Source organism: Homo sapiens, chromosome 9, assembly GCF_000001405.40.
Source record: "Homo sapiens chromosome 9, GRCh38.p14 Primary Assembly".
Taxonomy (NCBI): domain Eukaryota; kingdom Metazoa; phylum Chordata; class Mammalia; order Primates; family Hominidae; genus Homo; species Homo sapiens.
In genome coordinates, this window is record NC_000009.12 from 32,970,957 (window position 1) to 32,993,443 (window position 22,487).

The 22,487-nt window shown below is 41.4% G+C and overlaps 1 protein-coding gene and 1 pseudogene across 36 annotated transcripts in view; both read right to left on the reverse strand.

Moving 5' to 3' along the window:
- Positions 1,660–22,487, reverse strand: part of APTX (aprataxin) — a 52,505-nt gene continuing 31,677 nt past the window's right edge. For 7 of the 36 annotated variants that reach the window (NM_001368996.1, NM_001368995.1, NM_001368997.1 and 4 more), the window contains 7 exons: positions 18,803–18,939; positions 17,127–17,173; positions 16,588–16,890; positions 15,015–15,074; positions 13,675–13,901; positions 3,502–3,605; positions 1,660–2,696 (listed from right to left, as the gene is read on the reverse strand). In NM_001368996.1, the coding sequence (NP_001355925.1) occupies positions 2,542–2,696; positions 3,502–3,605; positions 13,675–13,901; positions 15,015–15,074; positions 16,588–16,890; positions 17,127–17,173; positions 18,803–18,935 (1,029 nt within the window). In that variant the 5' untranslated portion in view covers positions 18,936–18,939 and the 3' untranslated portion in view covers positions 1,660–2,541. Of the gene's footprint in view, positions 2,733–3,501; positions 3,606–13,674; positions 13,902–15,014; positions 15,075–16,587; positions 16,891–17,126; positions 17,174–18,802; positions 18,964–22,487 lie in introns of all 36 variants that reach the window. The other 29 variants (NM_001369002.1, NM_001369003.1, NM_001370669.1 and 26 more) reach the window with 13 other exon arrangements.
- On the reverse strand, positions 5,433–6,246 carry TCEA1P4 (transcription elongation factor A1 pseudogene 4; annotated as a pseudogene).

Consider the following 22,487-nt stretch of genomic DNA (forward strand, 5'->3'; position numbering starts at 1 on the left):
CTTAGGCCCTCAGGATTGTGATTCAGTAATTATTTGGTAAAGCCCAAGTGCTTACATTTTTTTAAAGGGAAACCAGTAATTCTGATCTAAGGAGTCCATGGAGTACATATTTAGAAAGTTTCCAGGGGCAGTAAGGCTTCAGATGCAGAGAGAGGCATGGATAAGGTGAATTCCTCTTTCCCAGCCTCCACTGAGATAAAAGCAGAGGCTTCCAGTTACCATTTATTGAGTCTTTCTCTATGCAAGATACTATGCTAAACCCTTTACATAGATTATTTAATCCTTATAACTCAACTCTGTTATGCTCATTTACATATGTGAATTCCAAAGTTCAGAGAAAATAAGTAACTTGCCCAAGATCCCTCAGCTGTGAGTAGCAGAGCCAGGACTGGAACCCAGGTCTGAATCCAGAGCCTGTTTTTAACTAATATGCCCATGATTTTTTTTTTTTTTTTTTTTTTTTTTTTGAGATGGGGTCTCACTCTGTCACCCAGGCTGGAGTGCAGTGGCACAATCTCGGCTCACTGCAAGCTCCGCCTCCTGGGTTCACACCATTCTCCTGCCTCAGCCTCACAAGTAGCTGGGACTACAGGTGCCCGCCACCATGCCCGGCTAATTTTTTTTTTGTATTTTTAGTAGAGGCGGTGTTTCACCATGTTAGCCAGGATGGTCTCGATCTCCTGACCTTGTGATCTGCCCGCCTCGGCCTCCCAAAGTGCTGAGATTACAGGCGTGAGCCACCGTGCCCAGACAATTTTCAAGAGTTTCTGTGCCTGGTACCTGATGACAGCAAATAAAAGGCTATGAAGCCACATGCCCTCTGCAGCTGGGTTGGGGAAGAACGTCCAGGAGCCACAGTGTATGTAGACAACCACCTCAGGAGACGAAGCAGACAATCAAGCAGGCCCAAAGGTCCAGCATCAAGCCAGATAGAAGAACTATGGATGGATGGACTAATGACCTAAGGATTACAATCCTGGAGTGCAGAAGGAGCAGAGAAAAGAGATGAAAGATGTTGGGAATGAGAGATGGACAAAAAGGGCTAAAGGAACTGGCTGATCTCAGGGAAATCAATGAAATGCCACGGAAAGCTTTTGATCAGCACAGGTCCAAGGCCCCTGGGTTCTATGGCTTCTGCTGTTAGTCTTGCATTTATACTGTTCAATTGATAAGAAAAATAATGAGTTGATGCATCAGAATCAATACCAACTTTGGATAGTGCCCAGGAACCATTGTAGAATATTAGATGCTCATCCACTAAAGGGGCATAACAATAGCACGTAACCTCATAGAGTTATGTACAGTGAGAATTCAATGAGATCACTTGAGTACAGTGTTTAGCATAATGCAGGACACACAGGAGTCAGACAAATGTGAGCTGCTATGATCATTAATTATATAATTATTACTATACCTATGTTCACTAAGTAACCACTGTGGCATCTTGTTTGTTTGTGAAAGACATTGAGGTCAAATGTCTCTATGGACTGTGGCTTTTTCTCTCCAGAAGAAGCTTTTGTTAAGGGTGTTTCCTTTTTTCTCACAACTTGAGTGAAAAGTCACATCCCCAAAGATATCCACAATTTCATCAAACCCAACTTTTTAGTTTTCCCTTCACCTTTAGTTCTAATATTATCCCAAAAAACAACTGAATACAACTGTTTTATCCAAATTTATTCTCAGGGAAAAAGAAAGTAGTGGCTCTACGCAACTTTTTCATTCACCAACCACCTTTCCATGCATCAGAACCTATGCTGTGATTGTTAGCTGAACTTCAATAGTTTCCACCTACTTAAGAGAGATGCCTCAAACAAATTAACTTTATTTTCAGACAACAGGTCCAAGAAGACTTCACAGCTCAATCATGACGAACATGTGGCTGTTTCCTCACAGCCAGGAACCCTCGGTATTAGAAGAAAACTCCAACCCCCCACACCATCATCTAGCCTCTTTTCTCACTGTGAAGAACTGATGAGACAGAATTCCTGAGAAGGGAACATTTAGGTAATCTGGGATAGAAGGGCATGGAAGGACTGGACAAACTAAGCCTCCCCATGAAGGAAGGGAAAAGAATATTACAAAACAGACTAACAGAAAACAAGACCCATCAGTATCTTCAGGATAAACAAGAGGCCACTCTAGATGCTCTGATTAAAGGTTGTCCATGCCTACAGAGGCGGAGGATAAATCTAAGAAACAGAAATGTATAACCAGCCCAATGCTTCCATACTCTGCATTAGGTCAGTGTGAACATGGCTTTGCTCCCAATGGTCAGACCTGACATGGGTCCTTCTGAAGATGGTGGGTCAGGTATATCCCAGCCACCCTCACCAGAGAATACATCTATGACAAACCCAAATTCCTAATCCTGAAGTACTTTGAGCCACTCTACATTGTGGCCACTCAATAATAGAATAAATTTGTGAAAAAGCTGCATGTTTTAATTTAGGAAATGAGTAGAAGTTCACAAGCAACCCAGAATAGGTGCCAGCAGTTTGCTCCAGTGGGCCACACCACAGCAGCAGCTCAGGCTCTGCAGAATCACTGTGTCCAGTGCTTCCTGAGATGTTCTTTCAGCTGAGGAATGGAAGGCAGCAGCTGCTGGCACTCATGACAACGAAGGGGCAGCTTCAAGAGCTCAGGCATCCCATCTCGGACAGTTACTCTACCAGCCTCTTGTACCATCTCGATCACAGCTGCAGGCAAGGAAGAAAAGTCAAATCCCAGCTACTCTGGAAAACCAATATGAGATACCAAAAAAAAAAAAAAAAAATCAAAAACGTGACTCCAATCAGTATGCCAGGCCAGGTATTCTACAGCTCCGTAAGCTTAGTTTAGACTTCCCTCAGGCAAAATGAGCTTAATCAGATTATAAATATGAGCAACCCACCTTTGAAATAATACACTCCTTCAGGACACACTCTAGGCAATCCATGTTACTCTGTCAAGAGCTCATCAGAGTGCTTTACCTCTGGTTGGCCCTTGGTAAATGCCAGCTGCCATTGTGAACACCCCATCAATGCTTAAGTTCTTACACACCAGGAAATGCTTTCCTGGTGTGTAAGAAAGCATCACACACCAGAAAATGCTTTCTTCTACATATACACAGGGTTCCCCCTGCTAATTCACCACTCCTGACAGGAGGCAGCCCCAAAGCTCCCACCCAACTGATGGCAGAAGAGACAAAGAATTGTCCACAGCTTTCTTATCCATGAACTCCACTAATTCTCACGGCAGCCTTTAAGTCCCCTTTTGTCACAATAAAACACTGACCCTGACATAATAGCTTTCTAGGTCCCCCAAGAAGACAACTCACAGCAAAGTGGCAATAATACTACAATCCAAATAATCCAGTTTCTTTTCACAGGGCTCGCTTTATAGGGAACACAAAGTTGTACATAGGTTTTTGAGGTCAGACTGTTATTCAGGGAAACAACCAAATCAAATATAAGAACAGCTCAGAAAATGAAACAAATGTGAAAACCAAGGAACACTGTTTACCTTGTGATTCTAGGAAGTATTCTGTATTGAAAGAATTCCAATGTTTTTTGTTTTTAAGGCAAGGAGAATCAAAATCCTGGCTGATCACATGAAGATGTACATGGCTAGTTGAAAGAAAAAAAAACTGAGCATTAAACTCTTTAACAACTATGGCTTAATCAAAATGACAAAGAGTATGAGTACATTGTATATTCATACTATTGAATACTCTTTGAATATTCATACTATTGAAGTGATAGTGTGTCCATTTAATTCAATTGATTCATTCATTTACTTAAGAATATTTAATGCTCAATAAGTATGTACTATGGCCAAACACTGTTCCAGGCACTGAGACTTTAGCAAGAAACAAAATGGGAAAAGCCTCTGCCCTTATAGAAATTGTACGCTAATGAGGAAAGACAAATAATAAATAAGCAAACAAATAAACAAACAAAAAAAAACTTAAAGAATTAACATTGCCAAGAAAAAATAAACAAGGAAAATGGGATAGAGTGCCCAGGGGTAGAAGCTGCCCTCTTTAGTTAACAGTGTTCAGGGAAAGCATCTCCCGGGAAGTGATTTGAACGGAGACAGCACCCAAGCAAGCTAGGTCTGTGGGAAGAGTGTCTCAGAAAGTGAGGAGGCCAAGAGCAGGGGCCCTGAGATGAGGAAAAGCTCAGTGCAACCAAGAAAGAGAAAGAAGGTAATATGGCCCAAATGTATGGCCTGAATTGTTGGAGCCAAGCAGCAGAAACGAGGCAGGAGCCAGGTCATAAAGCCTCTTAAAGGTGACAAAGGGTTTGCATTCTATTCTGAATCTACTGGGAAGCCATTGAAGGATTTTCAGCCGAAGAGTGCTACTATCTGATTTATACTCTTTTTTTTTGTTAACAATAAAAATTGAATTATAAAATGGACCACAATTTAAAAGTGGGCCTATTTTAATTTTATTATTCTTAAATTCATTCTTTTGAAAATGCAACCAGGTGCGGCGGCTCACGCCTGTAATCCCAGCACTTTGGGAGGCCGAGGCAGGTGGATCACTTGAGGTCAGGAGTTCAAGAACAGCCTGCCCAACATGGTGAAACTAACTACTAAAAATACAAAAAACTAACTGGGCGTGGTGGCAGGTGCCTGTAATCCCAGCTACTTGGGAGGCTGAGGCAGGAGAATCACTTGAACCTAGGAGGTGGAGGTTGCAGTGAGCTGAGATCATGCTACTGCACTCCAACCTGGGTGACAAAGTTAGACTCCATCACTAAAAAAAGAAGAAAAAGAAAAAGAAAATGCACTTTATTTTTGAAATGATAAAAGATTTAACTATGAGCTGACAAAGTAGAGGTCGGCTGACATTAGTGGGTCAACTCTTCATGTAGATATTTAAATGCTGTTTTTTCTGTATTACATCAAAATGATTTGCAATAGGAAATTGGAAAAGGGGAGCAAAGCAGAGTGCAAAGCATATACTGAGGTCTTTCCATGGGTATCTGATAGAATGCAGATTCAGCACAATAAAATGTAGACTGCAGCAGTGGCCTGTAAGTGTACTCCAAGCGTACCGTAAGAACCTATGTAAAAACCATTTTTTTCTTATTCCTAACAGAAAAACAAATTTTGTTTTGTTTAAACAATAAAATGTAATGGAAAGATCTGTACTGTAAAACTACTTGCTATAAACTATCACAAGGACAGAAAACCAAACACTGCATGTTCTCACTCATAGGTGGGAACTAAACAATGAGATCACTTGGACACAGGGCAGGGAACATCACATACCGGGGCCTGTCAGGGGGGTGGGGGGCTCGGGGAGGGACAACATTAAGAGAAATACCTAATGTAAATGATGAGTTGATGGGCGCAGCAAACCAACATGGCACATGTATACCTATGTATCAAACCTGCCTGTTGTGCACATGGACCCTAGAACTTGAGTATAATAAAAAAAAATAAAAACTACTTGCTGTAGCCCATGTGTTCAGTTTGTTCAACAACCTCACTCACACATGATGAATTACATGAATAGAAAGTCACCAAATAAGACTCAAGACAAAAAAATTATCTATCAACCTCCATATGAAAAGACCACAGCTTTAATGATTTATACAATCCTTAAGCTTAATATCTGGTCAGTATAGGTTTCCAAATCAAAATCAAGTCATAAGCTGTTACAATAACTGCATTATACTAACATTTTCTTTCCAGTATTTCTTCCTATGAGGGAAAAAAATCATCAGAAGCTTTCACTCTTGAAAAGCGTCCTAAACTAAAACAGTGTTCTTCTCCAAAACGAAAATACTCTACAAACAGTAAATAAAAGCTAAGCTAATTTCAACAGTCATATTTCCAAAAGTAAAATCTATTAAGTACAATACACCTGCACAAGAAATTACAAGAAATGATTACAGTTACAGATGCAAAATAACATCTAATTATCCCAGGCTTGTGAACATAATAATTAAAATCAAATTCATATGCTAGTCCAAATATTATGTACAATTTAGATAAGCTGGTCAAGTATTATTTGAATATACACCATATTTGTTAAACCTAAAATTATATTACCTTTTCTTGTCCTTTAATATTTGTAGATACACGCCAATATGAAAAAAAATGTAATTTCCATTTATGTATTAACAGAGAATTTCTACTGCACATGTTTTAAACCGTTAAAAAATAAAAAAGTCAAGGTACATTTTCACTTAAGAGATAAAAATAAATTACCAGAATTTTAATTGATAAAAGTTTCATATCAATTTATAAAAATGACCCAAGCACGTGGCTCATACCTGTAATCCCAGCTACTCAGGAGGCTGATGCAGGTGGATCACTTGAGGTCAGGAGTTCAACATTGGCCTGAGCAACATAGTGAGACCCTCATCTCTAAAAAATTGTTTTAATCAGCCAGGCATGGTGGCACACCCATAGCCCCAGCTACTCGGGAGGCTGAGGCAAAAGGATACCTGGAGCCGAGGAGTTCAAGGCCGCAGTGAGCTATGATCTTGACACTGTACTCCAGACTGGGAGAGAGGGTGAGACTCCCATCTCTTAAAACAAAAACGAAAACAAAAAATGAATAAAAAAATTCATTTATAAAAATGGGGGGGAAAAAACCTGGGTGCAGTGGCTCACACCTGTAATCCCAGTACTTTGGGGGGCCAAGGCAGGTGGATCATTTGAGGCCAGGAGTTCAAGACCAGCCTGGCCAATATGACAAAACCCCATCTCTACTAAAAATACAAAAATTAGCTGGGCGTGGTGGCGCATGCCTGTAATCCCAGCTACTCGGACAGCTGAGGCATGAGACTAGCTTGAACCCAGGAGGCAGGGGTTTCAGGGAGCTGAGATTGCACCACTGCACTCCAGCCTGGGCAACAGAGTGAGACTCTGTCTCAAAAAAGAAAAAGAAAAAAAAAACGGAAACAGATACCATATAATTATCATATGGTCTCTGATATAAGAAGGTATTTAAAGAAGGGGCATTAGGTCAAAAACAAGGACTAACCCAAGTGTGTTGCTTTAAAAATCTAATTTGTAGGAAAACTAGTTGCTTGGCCAGTTTTAAATCTAATTACAAAATCCATCCTTTTTTGTTTTTTGAAAAGCATAACAAATTTATTTAATCCAAGTTTTATGTGACACAGGAGCCTTCCAAATGAAGATGCAAAGATACGGGGAAAACTATCCATTTTTACACTTGGGTTTGTTGAAGAATGGAAAGCCATGTAGAACCACTACTGCTTCAAAAGGGTATACGACTTAATGAGAATAGACTGAGTGGGGAAACTCAGCAAGGCCTGTCTGTCCAGATTCTTCTTAACCTCTTTGTGCAGCATTCCTTCTTCCCAGGTATGGGAATGGCAGTCTTATGACCTACCATCAAACAAGGTAGATCAGGGAATTTCTTTATAGCCAGGTCTACATAGAAAAGAAGGTTAGAGTAATATTTTGGGGTTTTTGGTTGGCTTTGAGGAAGAAGGTTCTAGTTTCTATAACCTGCCTTGAGAAAGAGGAATTATAGTTTCTATGGCTTGCTTAGGGGGAGAATGAGGGGCAAGAGACGGGAGCAGGAGAAGGTCAAGGAGAAATTTTGCTTCTGAGGCCTTTATTTGGGGTTATCATTTTCTAAGCCCCAGCAACACTATCTGTGAAATGGAAGTGAAGATACCTACTTTACAGGGTTGCTAAGATGATGAAATGAAAGAAATAAAGCTCAAGTGCAATTTCTGATAAATAATAGACAGCAGATTTTAAATGAGGTATCACCTGTCCCATAAACATTTATGGTATGTATCCTCCCACCTTCAATATCCATGGTGGGGGACAGGAGAGCAGGACAGGAAAAGGCTACAATTCTCCCTTAACTACAAGCCAGATGAGCACTGTTTCTGCTGACTCCACTTCCATGACCCACTTTCTTACAACAGTGGTTCGCAAACCCTAAAGCTCTATTGTTGATATTCACTTTTTGATCCATTTACTATGATTGGGCTTCTGTCCCATCACACTACTAAAAGCATATTTTTTTGGATATAACTTATGTTTTGCTAACTACCAAGTTGGTTCTCCTTTTTTTCTATCATTAATATATTTAATATAGGTAACTTTTTAAAACTTTTAGGTTCAGGGATCCATGTGCAGGTTTGCTATATAGGTAAATTGTATGTCACAGGAGTTTGCTATACAGATTGTTTCGCCACCCAGGTAATAAGCATAGTACCCCATAGGCAGTTTTTCAATCCTCCCCCACCTCCCTCCCGCCACTGTCAAATAGGCCCTAGTGTCTGTCATTCCCTGCTTTGTGTCCATGTGTGCTCCGTATTTAGCTCCCATTTATAAGTGAGAACATGTGGTATTTGGTTTTCTGCTCCTGTGTTAGTTCACTTAGGATAACGGCCTACAGCTCCATCCATGTTGCTGCAGAGGACATGTTCTCGTTCTTTTCTATGGCTGTGTAGTATTCCATGGTGTATATGTACCACATTTTCTTCATCCAGTCTACTACTGACGGGCATCAATCATGGTTGATCCCATGTCTTTGCTACTGTGAATAGTGCTGCAATGAACATACAAAATCTAATTTCTTAATAGTCCAGATATTTTGGTAGTTATTCCAACTCAACAGAACTTCCACTGACGTCCACATTCATTACAGACAACGAATGTTATCAGTCCATCAGCACTACATTTGCACATGTGAACAAGCCACTCTGGGTTCCACCTGCCTTGGCCACCTAATGCTCTCTGATGACTTCTTTGGTCAAGTTTTTCCATATCTCTCTGAGCCCATCACTAGCCATTTCCTCTGCCATCATTCTAGCAAATAAGACAGGAGGAATATTCTCACATGGTACATTTTCCCTTAAATTTGGATTCTTTGCTCTTTAAGATTTGATATCCTACTTCATACTCTACTTTTGCATTTCGTACCTATATTCCTTAATTTCTTGATATACAGCCTCCTCAATTTGAGATCCTAATTCTTCCTCACCAGCTCCAATAGCAGTGTAGCCATCTCCTGTTTGGAGAGCTGCAGCAAGCACCTCGCAACACTTTAACCAAAGAGAGTCAGAAGTGCTTCGTTCCTGAATAAAAGATGAAACACGAGTATCTAGAGCATTTGTCTCACCCTCTCTGCTGCTTGCACTGCCACCGGAGCTACTTTCTTCTCTCGCTTCAGAGTTATTCTGCAATGTAACTGCAGGTTCTTTTTTCTTTTCTTCAGGGTCTTTCTCGGTTGATAGTAACTTTTTCCCAGATTTCATGACAGACTGTTAAAGATGTAACTTCTTCATCTTTATGCTGCTTGCCATTAGCATTAACTGATATTCTGATTCTTCTGGGGGCTGTAATAATTCCATGGTCATGGGAATATTTTTAAGCTCCTTTGGCAAATCCAATGCTCCAGCTGTATTCTTCTGCACCATCTTGTCCATCTACTTGGCAATGGGAACCACCTTGTCCAATGTGGCTCTGGCAGGTCTTCCCCACACCCAGCCAGCTGGAGGTGAGAAGTGTGTAAAACTGAGGTGGAAAGGATGGCAAGAAACAAGCCTCAGTGGTCCTGACAGGCTGAGCCAGGCTCTTCCTCACAAACCAAGCCCACAGGGGCAACCTGATTTACATGTTTAAAAGATCACTCTGACTGTTGTGTGAAGAAAGGACGGATAGGGAGGAACATGGAGAAACCAGTTAAGGAGGCTGCTACAGCAGTCTAGGCCAGAAAATCACAGCCTACACTAGAGCTGAGCTGTAGCAGCTGAGATGTCAACAAGCAATCCTACTTTGAATGCATTTTGGAATAGAACAAACAGAACTTATTAATGGGCTGCATGTTGCTTTGGGAGAGTGTTACTTACTGAGATAAAGAAGGTTAGGTGAAAAAGCAGGTTTGGGGAAGAAAATCAGGAATTCTCTTTTGGACTTGTTAAACCAAGTAGAATGCCTTTTTGTATAACAGCTTTCACTCTTATAATCAGTAATATTTCACGTTCTCCCAATAAATAATCAAAATCAATCAACATGTGTGCAGAATCCAAAATGAAATATAAGCACTAATAAATAAGCATAGCTGTATTACAAATGAATGAGGAAACCACACTAAATGGATTGAGGAAGAAAATATATTAACTATACTATAGTAACCTAGCTTTGGAGAACAGTGTTTTGACTAGATACGATAAGGCTAAAAACAAAAAGAACTATAGGCAAGTACTGTACTCTAGTTAGTAAATGTCCTTCTCACAGGGGTATGGGTTAGGAATCCTGTAACTATTTTATGGGTACACTAGGACTGAACAAGTAAATGAATTTATTGTAACTAATGAGAGCCAGGTTTCTCACTGTTGGAGAAAGTAGTTACAAAAAAGGAAAAGGGAAACAAGAATGAAACTTAGAGTTGGAATGGTGTCAGAGATATCAGTATGAACTCATGGTTTTTCACATACAAATAAAGGTAGATAAACACAGAATTATAGGGGTGTGTATGTGTGTGTGTGTGTATGGCTTAGGATTCATACATGCATTTCTGGCTCTATGGCTGAGAGGACCTAGAAAGCAAGGACACCCTGGAATCAACCACTTCTCTCACAGAAACCTAGTGCCCAAGAAGACCTAGGGCTCTTTGGAGAAGTGGTTCATTCCAGATAAGCCTGGAACATCTTGTGGGGCCAGAAAATAAATTGCCCAAAAGATGTTGAAGGCGTATCTAAGTGACACAAGAGCTGACCTAAAGGAGCTTTCAATAACCAAAGCTGAACAATTTGAGCAACAAAATAATTATAGTATTGAATTATAACCTATAGAATAAACATCCATGAGTCCATACCATTAAATGATTGAATAAAGAACTAATGAGAAAGACAGAACAGCGCTTTCACACAGAATAATTTCAACTAATAAGTTAGGTGAAGGAAGTATAAAGTCACCATAGAGTAAATACCAATACAATAACTATTACAGGCAAGATGCACCAATAGATGCTAAAATCATTGGGTGCGAGTTTGAGGAGAAATAGTAGTATAGTCTCAAAATATCTAACCCAAAATATTCATGAATTAAAAAAAAAAAAACAGTAATTTTGAAGGTGAAAACCTGGCAGACACCACCTTAACAAAATGATCAAGGTTAACATCATCAGTAATAAACCATCTCAACATCATGCCCCCCCATATGACATATTGAGAAGGACACAATCAGAAATATCACTTCAGTGATTAAAAAAATGCATAACGTCAACCTAATCATGAAAAACAAAATTAGACAAACCCAAATTAAAAGACGTCCTAAAGACAATTAGCCAGTATTCATCAAAAGTGTCAAGGTCATGAAAGCCAGGAAAGTAGGAACTGTCACAGATTGAGGGAGACTAAGAAGAGAGAACAAATAAATGAAATGTGAGATTGGATTCTGGAGTAGAAAAAGAACAATACAGGAAAAATGGGTGAAATTCAAATAAGGTCTACAGTTTAGTAAGTTATCTAAAATAAGGTCTATAGTTTAGTTATCTACAGTTAGTATTATGAAAGGTCTTTGTTCTTTTTCATACTTAATTTTTTATATTTTCTTAATTGAAAACATTACTTTTACAATAGGAAAAATAATTTTACTTGTTTATCACCTTTTCCTTTCTAATATGTTCATTTATTCAAAACTACATCATACAGAGTAATATAAAAGGGTATATAAATAGCAACTTTGCTTATTGGCTCATTTTGCCTCCCATATATACCTACCACAGCTCTTGCTGTGAGCATTCTCCTTAGCACGACAACATTCACTGTAGGAAAAAGGTATGGGCATCACGATCACTACGTGAAAAGGGCTCAGTGGCCAAGGGCTCTGTTAGTCAGGGGCTCTGCATTAGGGAAACAGGATTATGGGTGACTTTCCCTCCTAAATTTTCAAATCAGCCTTTAACAATAAAAATATATTTATATTTTTAAAGTGAGGTACAACATACATCCACCCTATGACCTAACAATTCCATCTCCAAATATTTATTCTTTTTTTTTCTTCTTCTTTTTTGAGACAGAGTCTCACTCTGTTGCCCAGGCTGGAGTACAATGGCGTGATCATAGCTTACTGTAGCCTCAACCTCCTGGGCTCAAGTGATCCTTCCAACTCAACCTCCCAAGTAGCAGGTGTGCACCACCACCCTTGGCTAATTTTTTGTATTTTTTGTAGAGACAGGTTTTGCCATGTTGCCCAGACTGGGATCCCTAAATATTTACTCAAGGGGAAAAAAATAAATAAAGTACATATGTCTATGATATACACAATAACACACATGAATCTCAAAATTATGCTGACCCAAAAAAGCCAGACCAAAAAAGAGTATGCAATGTATGATTCCATTTATACATGGTAGCTCTAGAAGAGACAAAAACTATCTATGCTGAAGGAAATAAAAGCAATGCTTGAGGGAGGATTAACTGGAAAGGGGCACAAGGGAACTTTCTGGGATGAAAGGATAGACATCTTCTGTATCTTAATCAGAATGATAGTGAAAAGATTATACACGCTTATGAAAACTGATCAAACTATGCATCTTATTATGCACTTTATTGTATGTAAGTTATGCCTCAACTTAAAAGAATCAGTACTGACTAGGGAAAAATCTGGCACAAAGATTTCATTTGGTTCAAGTGGCCAGTAACCTAAGTCATAATTATTCACCTAAATAAAATGTGAGTGTTGGTAGTTAAAAAAAAATAAGCAGAGAAAATCCTGTCACATGCTACAACATGGATAAGACTTGAAGACATTATGTAAAGTAAAATAAGTAAGTAAATAAGTAAAATAAGCCAGTCACAAAAGGACAAATATGTCCTTGTATGATTCCTCTAATATGAGGTACCTAGAGTAGTCAAATTCACAGGGAAGGAAAGTACAATGGTGGTTGCCAGGAGTGGGAGGGGGAAATGGAGAGTTATTATTTAAGGTACAGAGTTTCAATTTGGGAAGAGAAAACAGTTCTGGAGATAGATGGTAGTAATGGTTGCATAGTAATATGAATATAGTAATGCCAATGAATTGTACACTTAAAGATGACTAAAATGTAAATTTTGTTATGTATATTATATCACAGTTTTTTAAAAACAAAATAAAAACTCTAAAATCTAGACTTATCATCTTATTGCTTAAATCAAAGAAATCACGGAGATCCACCTTGCTTGTATTCTTTGAAAGAAATCAGTCATTCCTTTCTGAATCCTTCTGGGCATAAGCCACAGGAAAACAAATTCTATACTTTTCTCTCATTTTATTTTCAAATCCTGGATCTACTACGCTGTCATTACAGAAGTCTATGATGTTTGTTTCCTTCAGAGTAATGGTCCTTAATCATTCTGGGGTTATAGACGCTTTTGAAGAATCTGATAAAAGCCACTGACCACAATTCTTTATCTGAGGATAATGAAGCTGCTTCATCTAGTTCATATATTAGGCTCTCGAAGATTTATATTTTGAGAGGAACAAAGAACCAAATATGACTGAATTATAGGCAGAAGTGGGAACTCAAAGCTTGCATGCAAGTCAGGCAGAGAGGTGGAAGCTTCAGCCCACCTGCTTTGGAAAAACTCCATCCCACTTCCCTGGGTCTCAGTGCAATATGTGCCCTCAGCAAGCCCAGGCTGAATCTATCTGCCCACCTGGACAGAACCAGGAGCCAGCAGCACTACCCACCTGGCTTACCTCATACTCGGAATGGCGTGGTAGCCCAATCGGAAGCGGAGTTTGCTGGACCCAGCAAAATCTACAATCACCTTTTCCCCCACAGTGTGCATATGCTTAAGGAGTTCAAGGTGTTCCCTGGCCACAGCCTTCAGACTGGAAATGGAGGTCCACGGTAAGACCAGCCAATGGTAACGGGCCTTTGGGTATTTATCCTTTATCACCACCACCTGCTCATCTTTGTAAACCTAGCAGAGGGATACAAGAGAAGGAAACAGACATCTACTAAGAATCTTCTGTGTGCCTGGTTGTTATATTCACTAAGTCACTTAATTCCCACAGTCTTGTGCAAATGGTTTTAATAGCCCAGTTTTGAGAGAGGAGAGCACTGAAATTCAGACAGGTTGAGTGTCTTGCACAAGTCATAGTTCCTAAGAGGGAAATCTAGGATTCCAACTCAGATGTGGTTGACTCCAGAGTCTGTTTTCAACCACCACACTACACAGAATACACAGAAGATGCACAGTACAAAATAGTTCCCAAGAATGTGATGTAAAATCTCTGTAGACATAAATTCAAAAGCATCCTTCTCCACTCCAACATGGCAGACTGTGTGACACGTACACGTGGGTTCCAGTGAGCCCTATTAGACCTGCCCCTTGTCAACAAGGAATATAATTGAAGTGGGACTCAAAGGCTCCTCAAGGATGATGCCTGTTTTTTTTTTTTTTTTTTTTTTTTTGAGATGGAGTTTCGCTCTTGTTGCCCAGGCTGGAGTACAATGGTGCAATCTCAGCTCACCGCAACCTCCACCTCCCGGATTCAAGTGATTCTCCTGCCTCAGCCTCTCGAGTAGCTGAGATTACAGGCATGCACCACCATGCCCAGCTAATTTTTTGTATTTTTAGTAGAGACAGGGTTTCTCCATGTTGGTCAGGCTGATCTCGAACTCCTGACCTCAGGTGATCCTCCCGTCTCGGCCTCCCAAAGTGCTGGGATTACAGGGATGTCTGACTGTTAATGCCAGGGCAGCACAGTACTACTGTCACAGTGTATTATCTCTGATGCTCCCCTGAAAGGAACCATACTAAGGTTAATGCAACTTCCCTTAAAGTACCCAGAAGTTTAAAAGGCACAAGGCAGAGGGGATATTCATTTGAAGAACTCAGCTTTCTCTCCAAACAATGACAGCTGCTACTTTATTGCCAATGTGAAAAGCCTCTTGTTCTCACAGAACAGCCCAATAAAATGAATCTCATTCAGAAAGACTGATATCCTTTGATTTCATTTGTAATTAAGACCTCTGTGGAGTGGTCATTTACAACATGAAATGTACTGAAATTCCAAAATTGTATTCTGACCTGCATTTTGGGGTCCTGCATAGAAATCTTCAAGCCTTGACTCCAGTGGCCCAGGGATTCCTAAAAAAAAAACAAAAAAAAAAACAAAAAAAAAAAAAAACAAGCAATGTAAATTACAAATGCCAATAATTAAATTTGGCAACAGTTAATACTGTGTGATAGCACAACTAAACTTGGAAATAAGCTTAGTTTTTGAGAATTAAACAAGATTCACTTGACTCTGCTTCACTCCATTGCCTTCCTATATTCTCTTTTTTTTTGAGACAAAGTCTCACTCTGTCTCACCCAAGCTGGAGTGCAGCGGCGTGATCACTGCAACCTCCGAAGTGATTCTCCTGCCTCAGCCTCCCAAGTAGCTGGGATTACAGGTGCCCACCACCACGCCCAGCTAACTTTTGTATTTTTTAGTAGAGACGGAGTTTCACCAGGTTGGCCATGCTGGTCTTGAACTCCTCACCTCAGGTGATCCACTGGCCTCCACCTCCCCAAGTGCTGGGATTACAGGCGTGAGCCACCACACCCGACCCTATATTCTTTCTTTTTTTTTTTGAGATGGGGTTTCGCTCTTGTTGCCCAGGCTGGAGTACAATGGCGTGATCTCGGCTCACTGCAACCTCTGCCTCCCGGGTTCAAGCGATGCTCCTGCCCAGCCTCTGGAGTTGCTGGGATTATAGGCATGCACCACCACGCCCAGCTAATTTTGTATTTTTAGTAGAGATTAGGTTTTGCCATGTTGGTCAGGCTGGTCTCGAACTCCTGACCTCAGGTGATCTGCCCATCTCGGCCTCCCAAAGTGCTGGGATTACAGGCGTGAGCCAGCACACCCAGCTGTTTTTTATTATTGTTGTTGTTTTTTGAGATGGAGTCTCGCTCTGTCGCCCAGGCTGGAGTGCAGTGGTGCAATCTCAGCTCACTGCAACCTCCGCCTTCCAGGTTCAAGCAATCCTCCCGCCTCAGCCTCCCGAGTAGCTGGGATTACAAGCATGTGTGTACCACCAGGCCCAGCTAATTTTTGTATTTTTAGTAGACATGGAGTTTCACAATGTTTGCCAGGCAGGTCTCAAACTCCTGACCCTCAAGTGATCTGCCCACCTCGGCCTCCCAAAGCGCTGAGATTACAGGCGTGAACCACTGCACCCAGCCAGCCTTCCTATATTCACAGCTGGCTGTTCTAAATGAAGGCGAGAAATGCCAGAGTATGAGTCATACCTTCTTTGCCCTCTCTCACTGCAGCTACAGCCTGACCAATTCTCCACTTTGACATCAGCATATGAATTACATGATCTATGAAAACCTTCTATAGATGCATAAACAACTGATCCACTTTAGTTGTTCAATGTTAAGTACACACTGCCATTATTGTTGTACCTTCAGGTGGCTTACCTCAGGAATTTAAGAAAAAAGCACATAAAGGAACATTCATCCAAATGATTTTCACGCCACAAACAAGTGACTCTTTCATCATGGTTAATAACCCCTCACGCATTTCTGAACTTTAAAGTGTACAAAACAATTAAGCAGTCATTATATTTCATTTCTTCTCCACATCATCTACCAATCACACTACCCTCACCTTTTTGATAGGTGCATCTTTTCCCTTCTTTAGGGGCACAGAGCATTGGCCAGAGTTGCTCCCAGGTTCCAGCCCTGTCCCAGCCTCAGCTTCCTGAGCAGCATCCCTTTCTATAGAATCACTGTTGCCTGATCTCTTTCTCTTCCTGTGTGTTTCCAGGCCAGGGTTCTTTGCCTCTTCCTCAAACTCTACAATATATGGATAAAGTTCATTCACCATGTGGAGAACCTGGCCAGGCTGCAGCTTCACCTCTTGGTCCTTCCCAATTACGACTGAGTCAATGCTGGTGGGATTGACTCCTACCTATGGAATAAACAATCAGAAAATAATTATAATAATAGCAACAGCACCTACAGTAAGATAGCCACTGCTATGTTAACCACTTACTATATGCCAAGCACCTTGCCTTATGTTCACCTATATTACTCCATCACTTCCATACATGACAGAGAAGCCTTCACTGGCTGGCACAGACACTCTAAAGTCAACAGCATAAGAAAATCATCGAGTATAAAATTCCAAGTTATAAATACACCTACCTGCTTTACCTTGACATATCCCTTGTTACACTCTGCTTTCAACTGTACTGAAAGAGATTGGAAAAAGTTAAACACAAATGCAACAAAGAACCAGGCACTTGCTCCTATCTTCCCTAAAGAAAACAAGCTTCACTACAGGCGGCAGCTGAACAGGTGGTGTTTCCTTAAAGGCCTATTAGCAATCACCTGTTATTGCAGGTGGCTGGAGCTCCAAATCCTACCAATTTCTAAAGGTTTAAATCCTTCCATAAAATGTCCAACAGCGTACATACTCCCTTAGCTATTGCCAAGATCCCTATGAGGCAGCTTCAATTAATCCCCACAAGTTTCCCTATTCCAGAACCCCTGGCCTGCTCATGATCACAGACTCTGCCGCCAGAAAAGAAGACCTGTTTCTCCCAGCCTGGGCAGCATGGCAATACCCCGTCTCTACAAAAAAATACAAAAATTAGCCAGGTGTGGTGGCACATGCCTGTAGTCCCAGCTACTTGGGAGACTGAGGTGGGAGAATCACTTGAGCCCCAGGAGGTGGAGGTTGCAGTGAGTCAAGATCGCACCACTACACTCCAGCCTGGGCAACAGAGTGAGACCCTATCTCAGGAGGAAAAAAAAAAAAAAAAAAAAAAAAAAAGATCCATTTCTCACACGAACTCTTGACCAAGGATTAAATCAGGCTTCCACTATTATTTTGGAAAAACAACAACTATTAGATGCTTTAAAAGATAAAACAGTAAAAGACACATTCCTGGAAAACAGAAACTCAGGTGGCTTTGGGTAGAAGGAGTGGAAAGAATGTTCTAGAAAGATGATTGCAGAGACAGAACAATCTGAGCATGTGTGAGAAGTGGTAACATTAAGCATTCCTGTTCTGATAAATGAACAAGGTATCTGGAGTTGAGACAGGGAGGAAAGAAGAACCACCATAGCTGCTCCCCAGAGAGGACAGGGTGCCACATACATGCCCCTTCAGTTGCTGTTGTGAGGAAGGGAACAGAGAGAGAAGCAGCCACTGCTTCTGCATCTTGGGCCTACTCAGCTCAAGCATGGCTTTGTATCCCTCCACTTAGATTAACTCATATAGGAAAGATCATAATCAGTGCTGCAGATGCCAACTCTCTAAGTTCAGAACCCTTGGGAAACCTTGCTGTGGGGGGGTCACACTCCAGCCAGCAGTGTGCATGTTTACAGGAAAAAACAAGGTACATGGTAAGGATTTTTTTCTGAGGGCAAGGACTTTCATGTTATTAAACCCTAAGACAAGTGCTAGATGCCACTGTCTCATAATACTTTGCGTGAAGCAATATGTAAAGGACGGCACTACCCCATTACTTCTCAGAAAGACATGGTTTCACCTGTAGACTCCAGAGTTTACATCTTGCTGCCCATTGAGCAATGTCCCTGGGGAAAGGAGGGCAGGACTCAATTCCACCATCCCATGGTAACAGTATGAACTTGACTGCTCCCAACCTTCACCCACCCTGCCTTGAACATTATCACATTGGGAGGGCAGAATCAGGAATAAATAGGGCCCTGGTGTTGGCTAAAAGAGCTCAGTTCCTGAGCTGTATTTTTGGCAGACAATAGATTTTCCATCAAGATCACCCAGAAAATATGCATCTTTGGTTATCACTATCCCACATAACCATAGTAATCTCCACATTTCTATGACCAGTTACCTTGCTGTCGAGAACATTTCTTATCAGTGATCTTGGTCTCTGGGCCACGCCCAATCACAACTGCTTCCAAATGTGGAAGTCTGATTCGCTGGTGCCGGCTGTCCTGTCTCACCAACCAGCACACCCGCATCATCACTCTAAGGGACAAAACAAAAGAATCACTAGAAAAACAGATCCACTAGCACGAGTCCTCCAGGGCCACACCCGGTGCCACCACGCATGTGATCTACCAGCTGTTCATCTTGAGGCAAGTGACTTCACCACCCTAGTCTCAATTTCCTCACCTATAAACCATGATAATGATGGGACTCAGGAGGCTGTTGTGAAAATTAAATGAGATAATGTGAGTAAGTATTTACCTCCCTGCCTGAATCATGCTAGGCAATCAAATATTTATTACACATTTATTTATTTATTTATTTTATTTATTTTGAGACAGAGTCTCGCTGTGTCCCCCAGGCTGGCACGCAGTGGCACAATCTCGGCTCACGGCAACCTCCACCTTCCGGGTTCAAGCAATTCTCCTGCCTTAGCCTCCTGAGTAGCTGGGATTACAGGCACCCGCCACCACACCTGGCTAATTTTTGTATTTTTAGTGGAGACAGGGTTTCACCATGTTGGCCAGGCTGGTCTCAAACTTCTGACCTCAGGTGATCCACCCGCCTCTGCCTCCCAAAGTGCTGGGATTACAAGCATAAGCCATCACACCTGGCCTGTTACACATGTATTGATATGTGCTGGACATTAGGCTACATATTGAAAGTCAAAGGATGAATAAAACAGGGACATTGTCCCTGTCCTTGAGGAGCCTGGAGTGCAGTAGGACAGACAGAATCATATACCAATATATACAATATAATGTGATAAACACTACAAGAAGAGAGTAACCAAATATGGCATTAGCCCAGTAAAAGGACTGACTGACTCTTGTGGAGAATATTTTAAAAGGCTTCACGAGGAAGGGATATTAATGTGCGGTTTTAAAGGATGAGAAGGAGTTTGCCTGCCAGAGAACTAAGGACATAAAAAAGATGTTCTCTAGTGCTTAGGTGTCTTTATGTGTCATAGGTTTTCCTTCCCTGTCATGACATACTGATGTTAGAACAATATATTTCACTCCCATCTGCCAGGAGACAGTCATAATAAATATGCAAATCTACAATTTCTTTACTTTTTTTTTTTTCTGAGACGGAGCTTCACTCTTGTTGCCCAGGCTGGAGTGCAATGGCACAATCTTGGCTCACTGCAACCTCTGCCTCCTGGGTTCAAGCGATTCTCCTGCCTCAGCCTCCCGAGTAGCTGGGATTATGGGCATGTGTCACCACAGTCAGCTAATTTTATATTTTTAGTAGAGACTAGGTTTCTCCATGTTGGTCAGTCTGGTCTCGACCTCCTGGCCTCAGGTGATCCGCCTGCCTCGGCCTCCCAAAGTGCTGGGATTACAGGCATGAGCCACCGTGCCCGGCCGCAAACCTACAATTTCTAAAGTGTGAATGTGACAATTTTGTGCAATACGCAACGCGCAAAACAATGGAAGTGCTGATATTCTTTTGAAAAACAACCCTTATGGCCATGTGGACTATCAGTAAAAGAGAAAGAGACAAGAAATTCAGAAGAGAGATGAGACCTCAACAATGGCCGAAGCAAAGGGGATGGAGAGCAAGAAGAGCCAGGAGAAATCTGGAAGACATACTTAATTACTGATGACATTTGGGGAATGACAAAGGAATAAAAGGACACACTGGCCAGGTGCGGTGTCTCAGGCCTGTAATCCCAGCACTTTGGGAGCCCAAGGCAGGCGGATCACGAGGTCAGGAGTTTGTGACCAGCCTAGCCAACGTGGTAAAACCCTATCTCTACTAAAAATACAAAAATTAGCCAGGTGTGGTGGCAGGTGCCTCCCACCTACTCGGGAGGCTGAGGCAGGAAAATTGCTTGAACCCAGGAGGCGGAGGTTGCAGTGAGCAGAGATCGCACCATTGTATTCCAGCCTGGGCGATAGGGCAAGGCTCCATCTCAAGAAAAAAAAAAAAAGGCGAGACACTCACCAAAGACTTCAAATTTGGAAGATGCCCATTAACAAAAATGAAAAATACACAAGGAGACATAATTTGGGGATAAAAAGGAAAGTGAAGAGAGAAGGACCAATTTCATATTGAAATGTAATTATTTTAAGTTGCCTGTGGAAGATCCAAGACTCAAGCTGTGATATGTGGGTATGAAGCTCAAGAGAGGGGAATGGACTAAATGCATATATTTGAGAGGCATCAACATGTCACAGAGGCTGAGGCAAAGAGAGAGAGGATGAGATCACCCAATGAGGTGAAACAGGGAATTATGGGCAGAGAGAGATTGCCTCTCTAGACTCCAGACTCTTATCAGTGCTCAAGCCTCTAACATGCCTCTCCCGGAAACCTGCCTATAGTCAAGGCAGCACATATGCCCTCTGCACAAGTTTCATGTCCATAAGCAAAGAAAAAAGAAACCCGATTTTTAAAAATCAGTTTCATTACCATCTGCAAAGACAAGACAATGCAAGGCAAAGTGAGCAAATGACAGCTGAGGAGATGCAAATTCAAATGAATAAGATTAGTGCGAGTATATGAGTACTAAGGAGGTAAAAAGTCCTGTATTAGCCAGTACAGGCTTCCAGAAACCTCCTGGTTAGAGATGGCTAGGAGCCAAGGGGACTGATAAAGAAGAAATGGAGTGGGAGGGGCCATTCCATTTTAAAAAGCACAAGTGACAACACAGATTTCGGCAATGGCAAGCCATAGGTCGGGGTAAAAGCAGACTTAGTTGGCTGAACCAGAGGAGCTGCCTCGGAGAGTCACAAAAAAAGACAGAGGTGTTGAAAGAATACTAGGCTGAAAAGTTTACATTTACCATAATCAAGAGGAGACAACTGCCAGGTTTTGAGCTTCACAGTAAGATAAAACAACAGCATCCAAAGAACACTTAACAGCTGTGTGTAGGCAGTCTAGCATGGAGAAATCCAGAGTCAGAGATTAGTGAGGAGGCTGTTAATATAACGTGAGCCAGAGAGGTCAAAAAGGCAGTTCAGCAAGTCTCTGTGAAGGAGCTGATGCAGGTGCACGAAGAGTCAGCTATAAATCTAAAATCCTAAACCTGGAGCCTCAAATGATGATGGTGTTATGGGCAGGTCCCACTTTTAAATGCTATGCGTTCCAAGGGGCATCTGTTTGCACTTGCTGGAAACAGATGAATGAGCAGGTAACAGACTGAGAAGTGAAATATGTCTTCACTAGGCATTGGGAAATATGTGGTGACTGACTACTCATACTGACAATAAGAGAAGCCAGAAGAGAACAGATTTTGAGAGCAGGGCAAGAGAGGAATCCAGTGAGCAGCAGAGAGCATGGCTGGCAGATGCAGGATAATAAGAACTACCCTTTCTGCCCTCCATCAATACAGATACTTTATTCCCCCAAAGTTCTCAAGTTATGGTGTTCCTTTTTACTACTTCCTGAGAAGCTGAAGTAGTGACTGCACAACAGTTATGTAACCAACCTTAAATAGTAACTTCACCCGTTTCAGCCTCCAATTCCAACTTTTAGAAATGGAGTGTTTTACAATATGGCAAGTGCAGAAGGATGGGTGTTCCTGAATCTTCAACCCAGTCCCTCCAGTAAAACTCCATAAACTGAAAACTATGACAATAGAG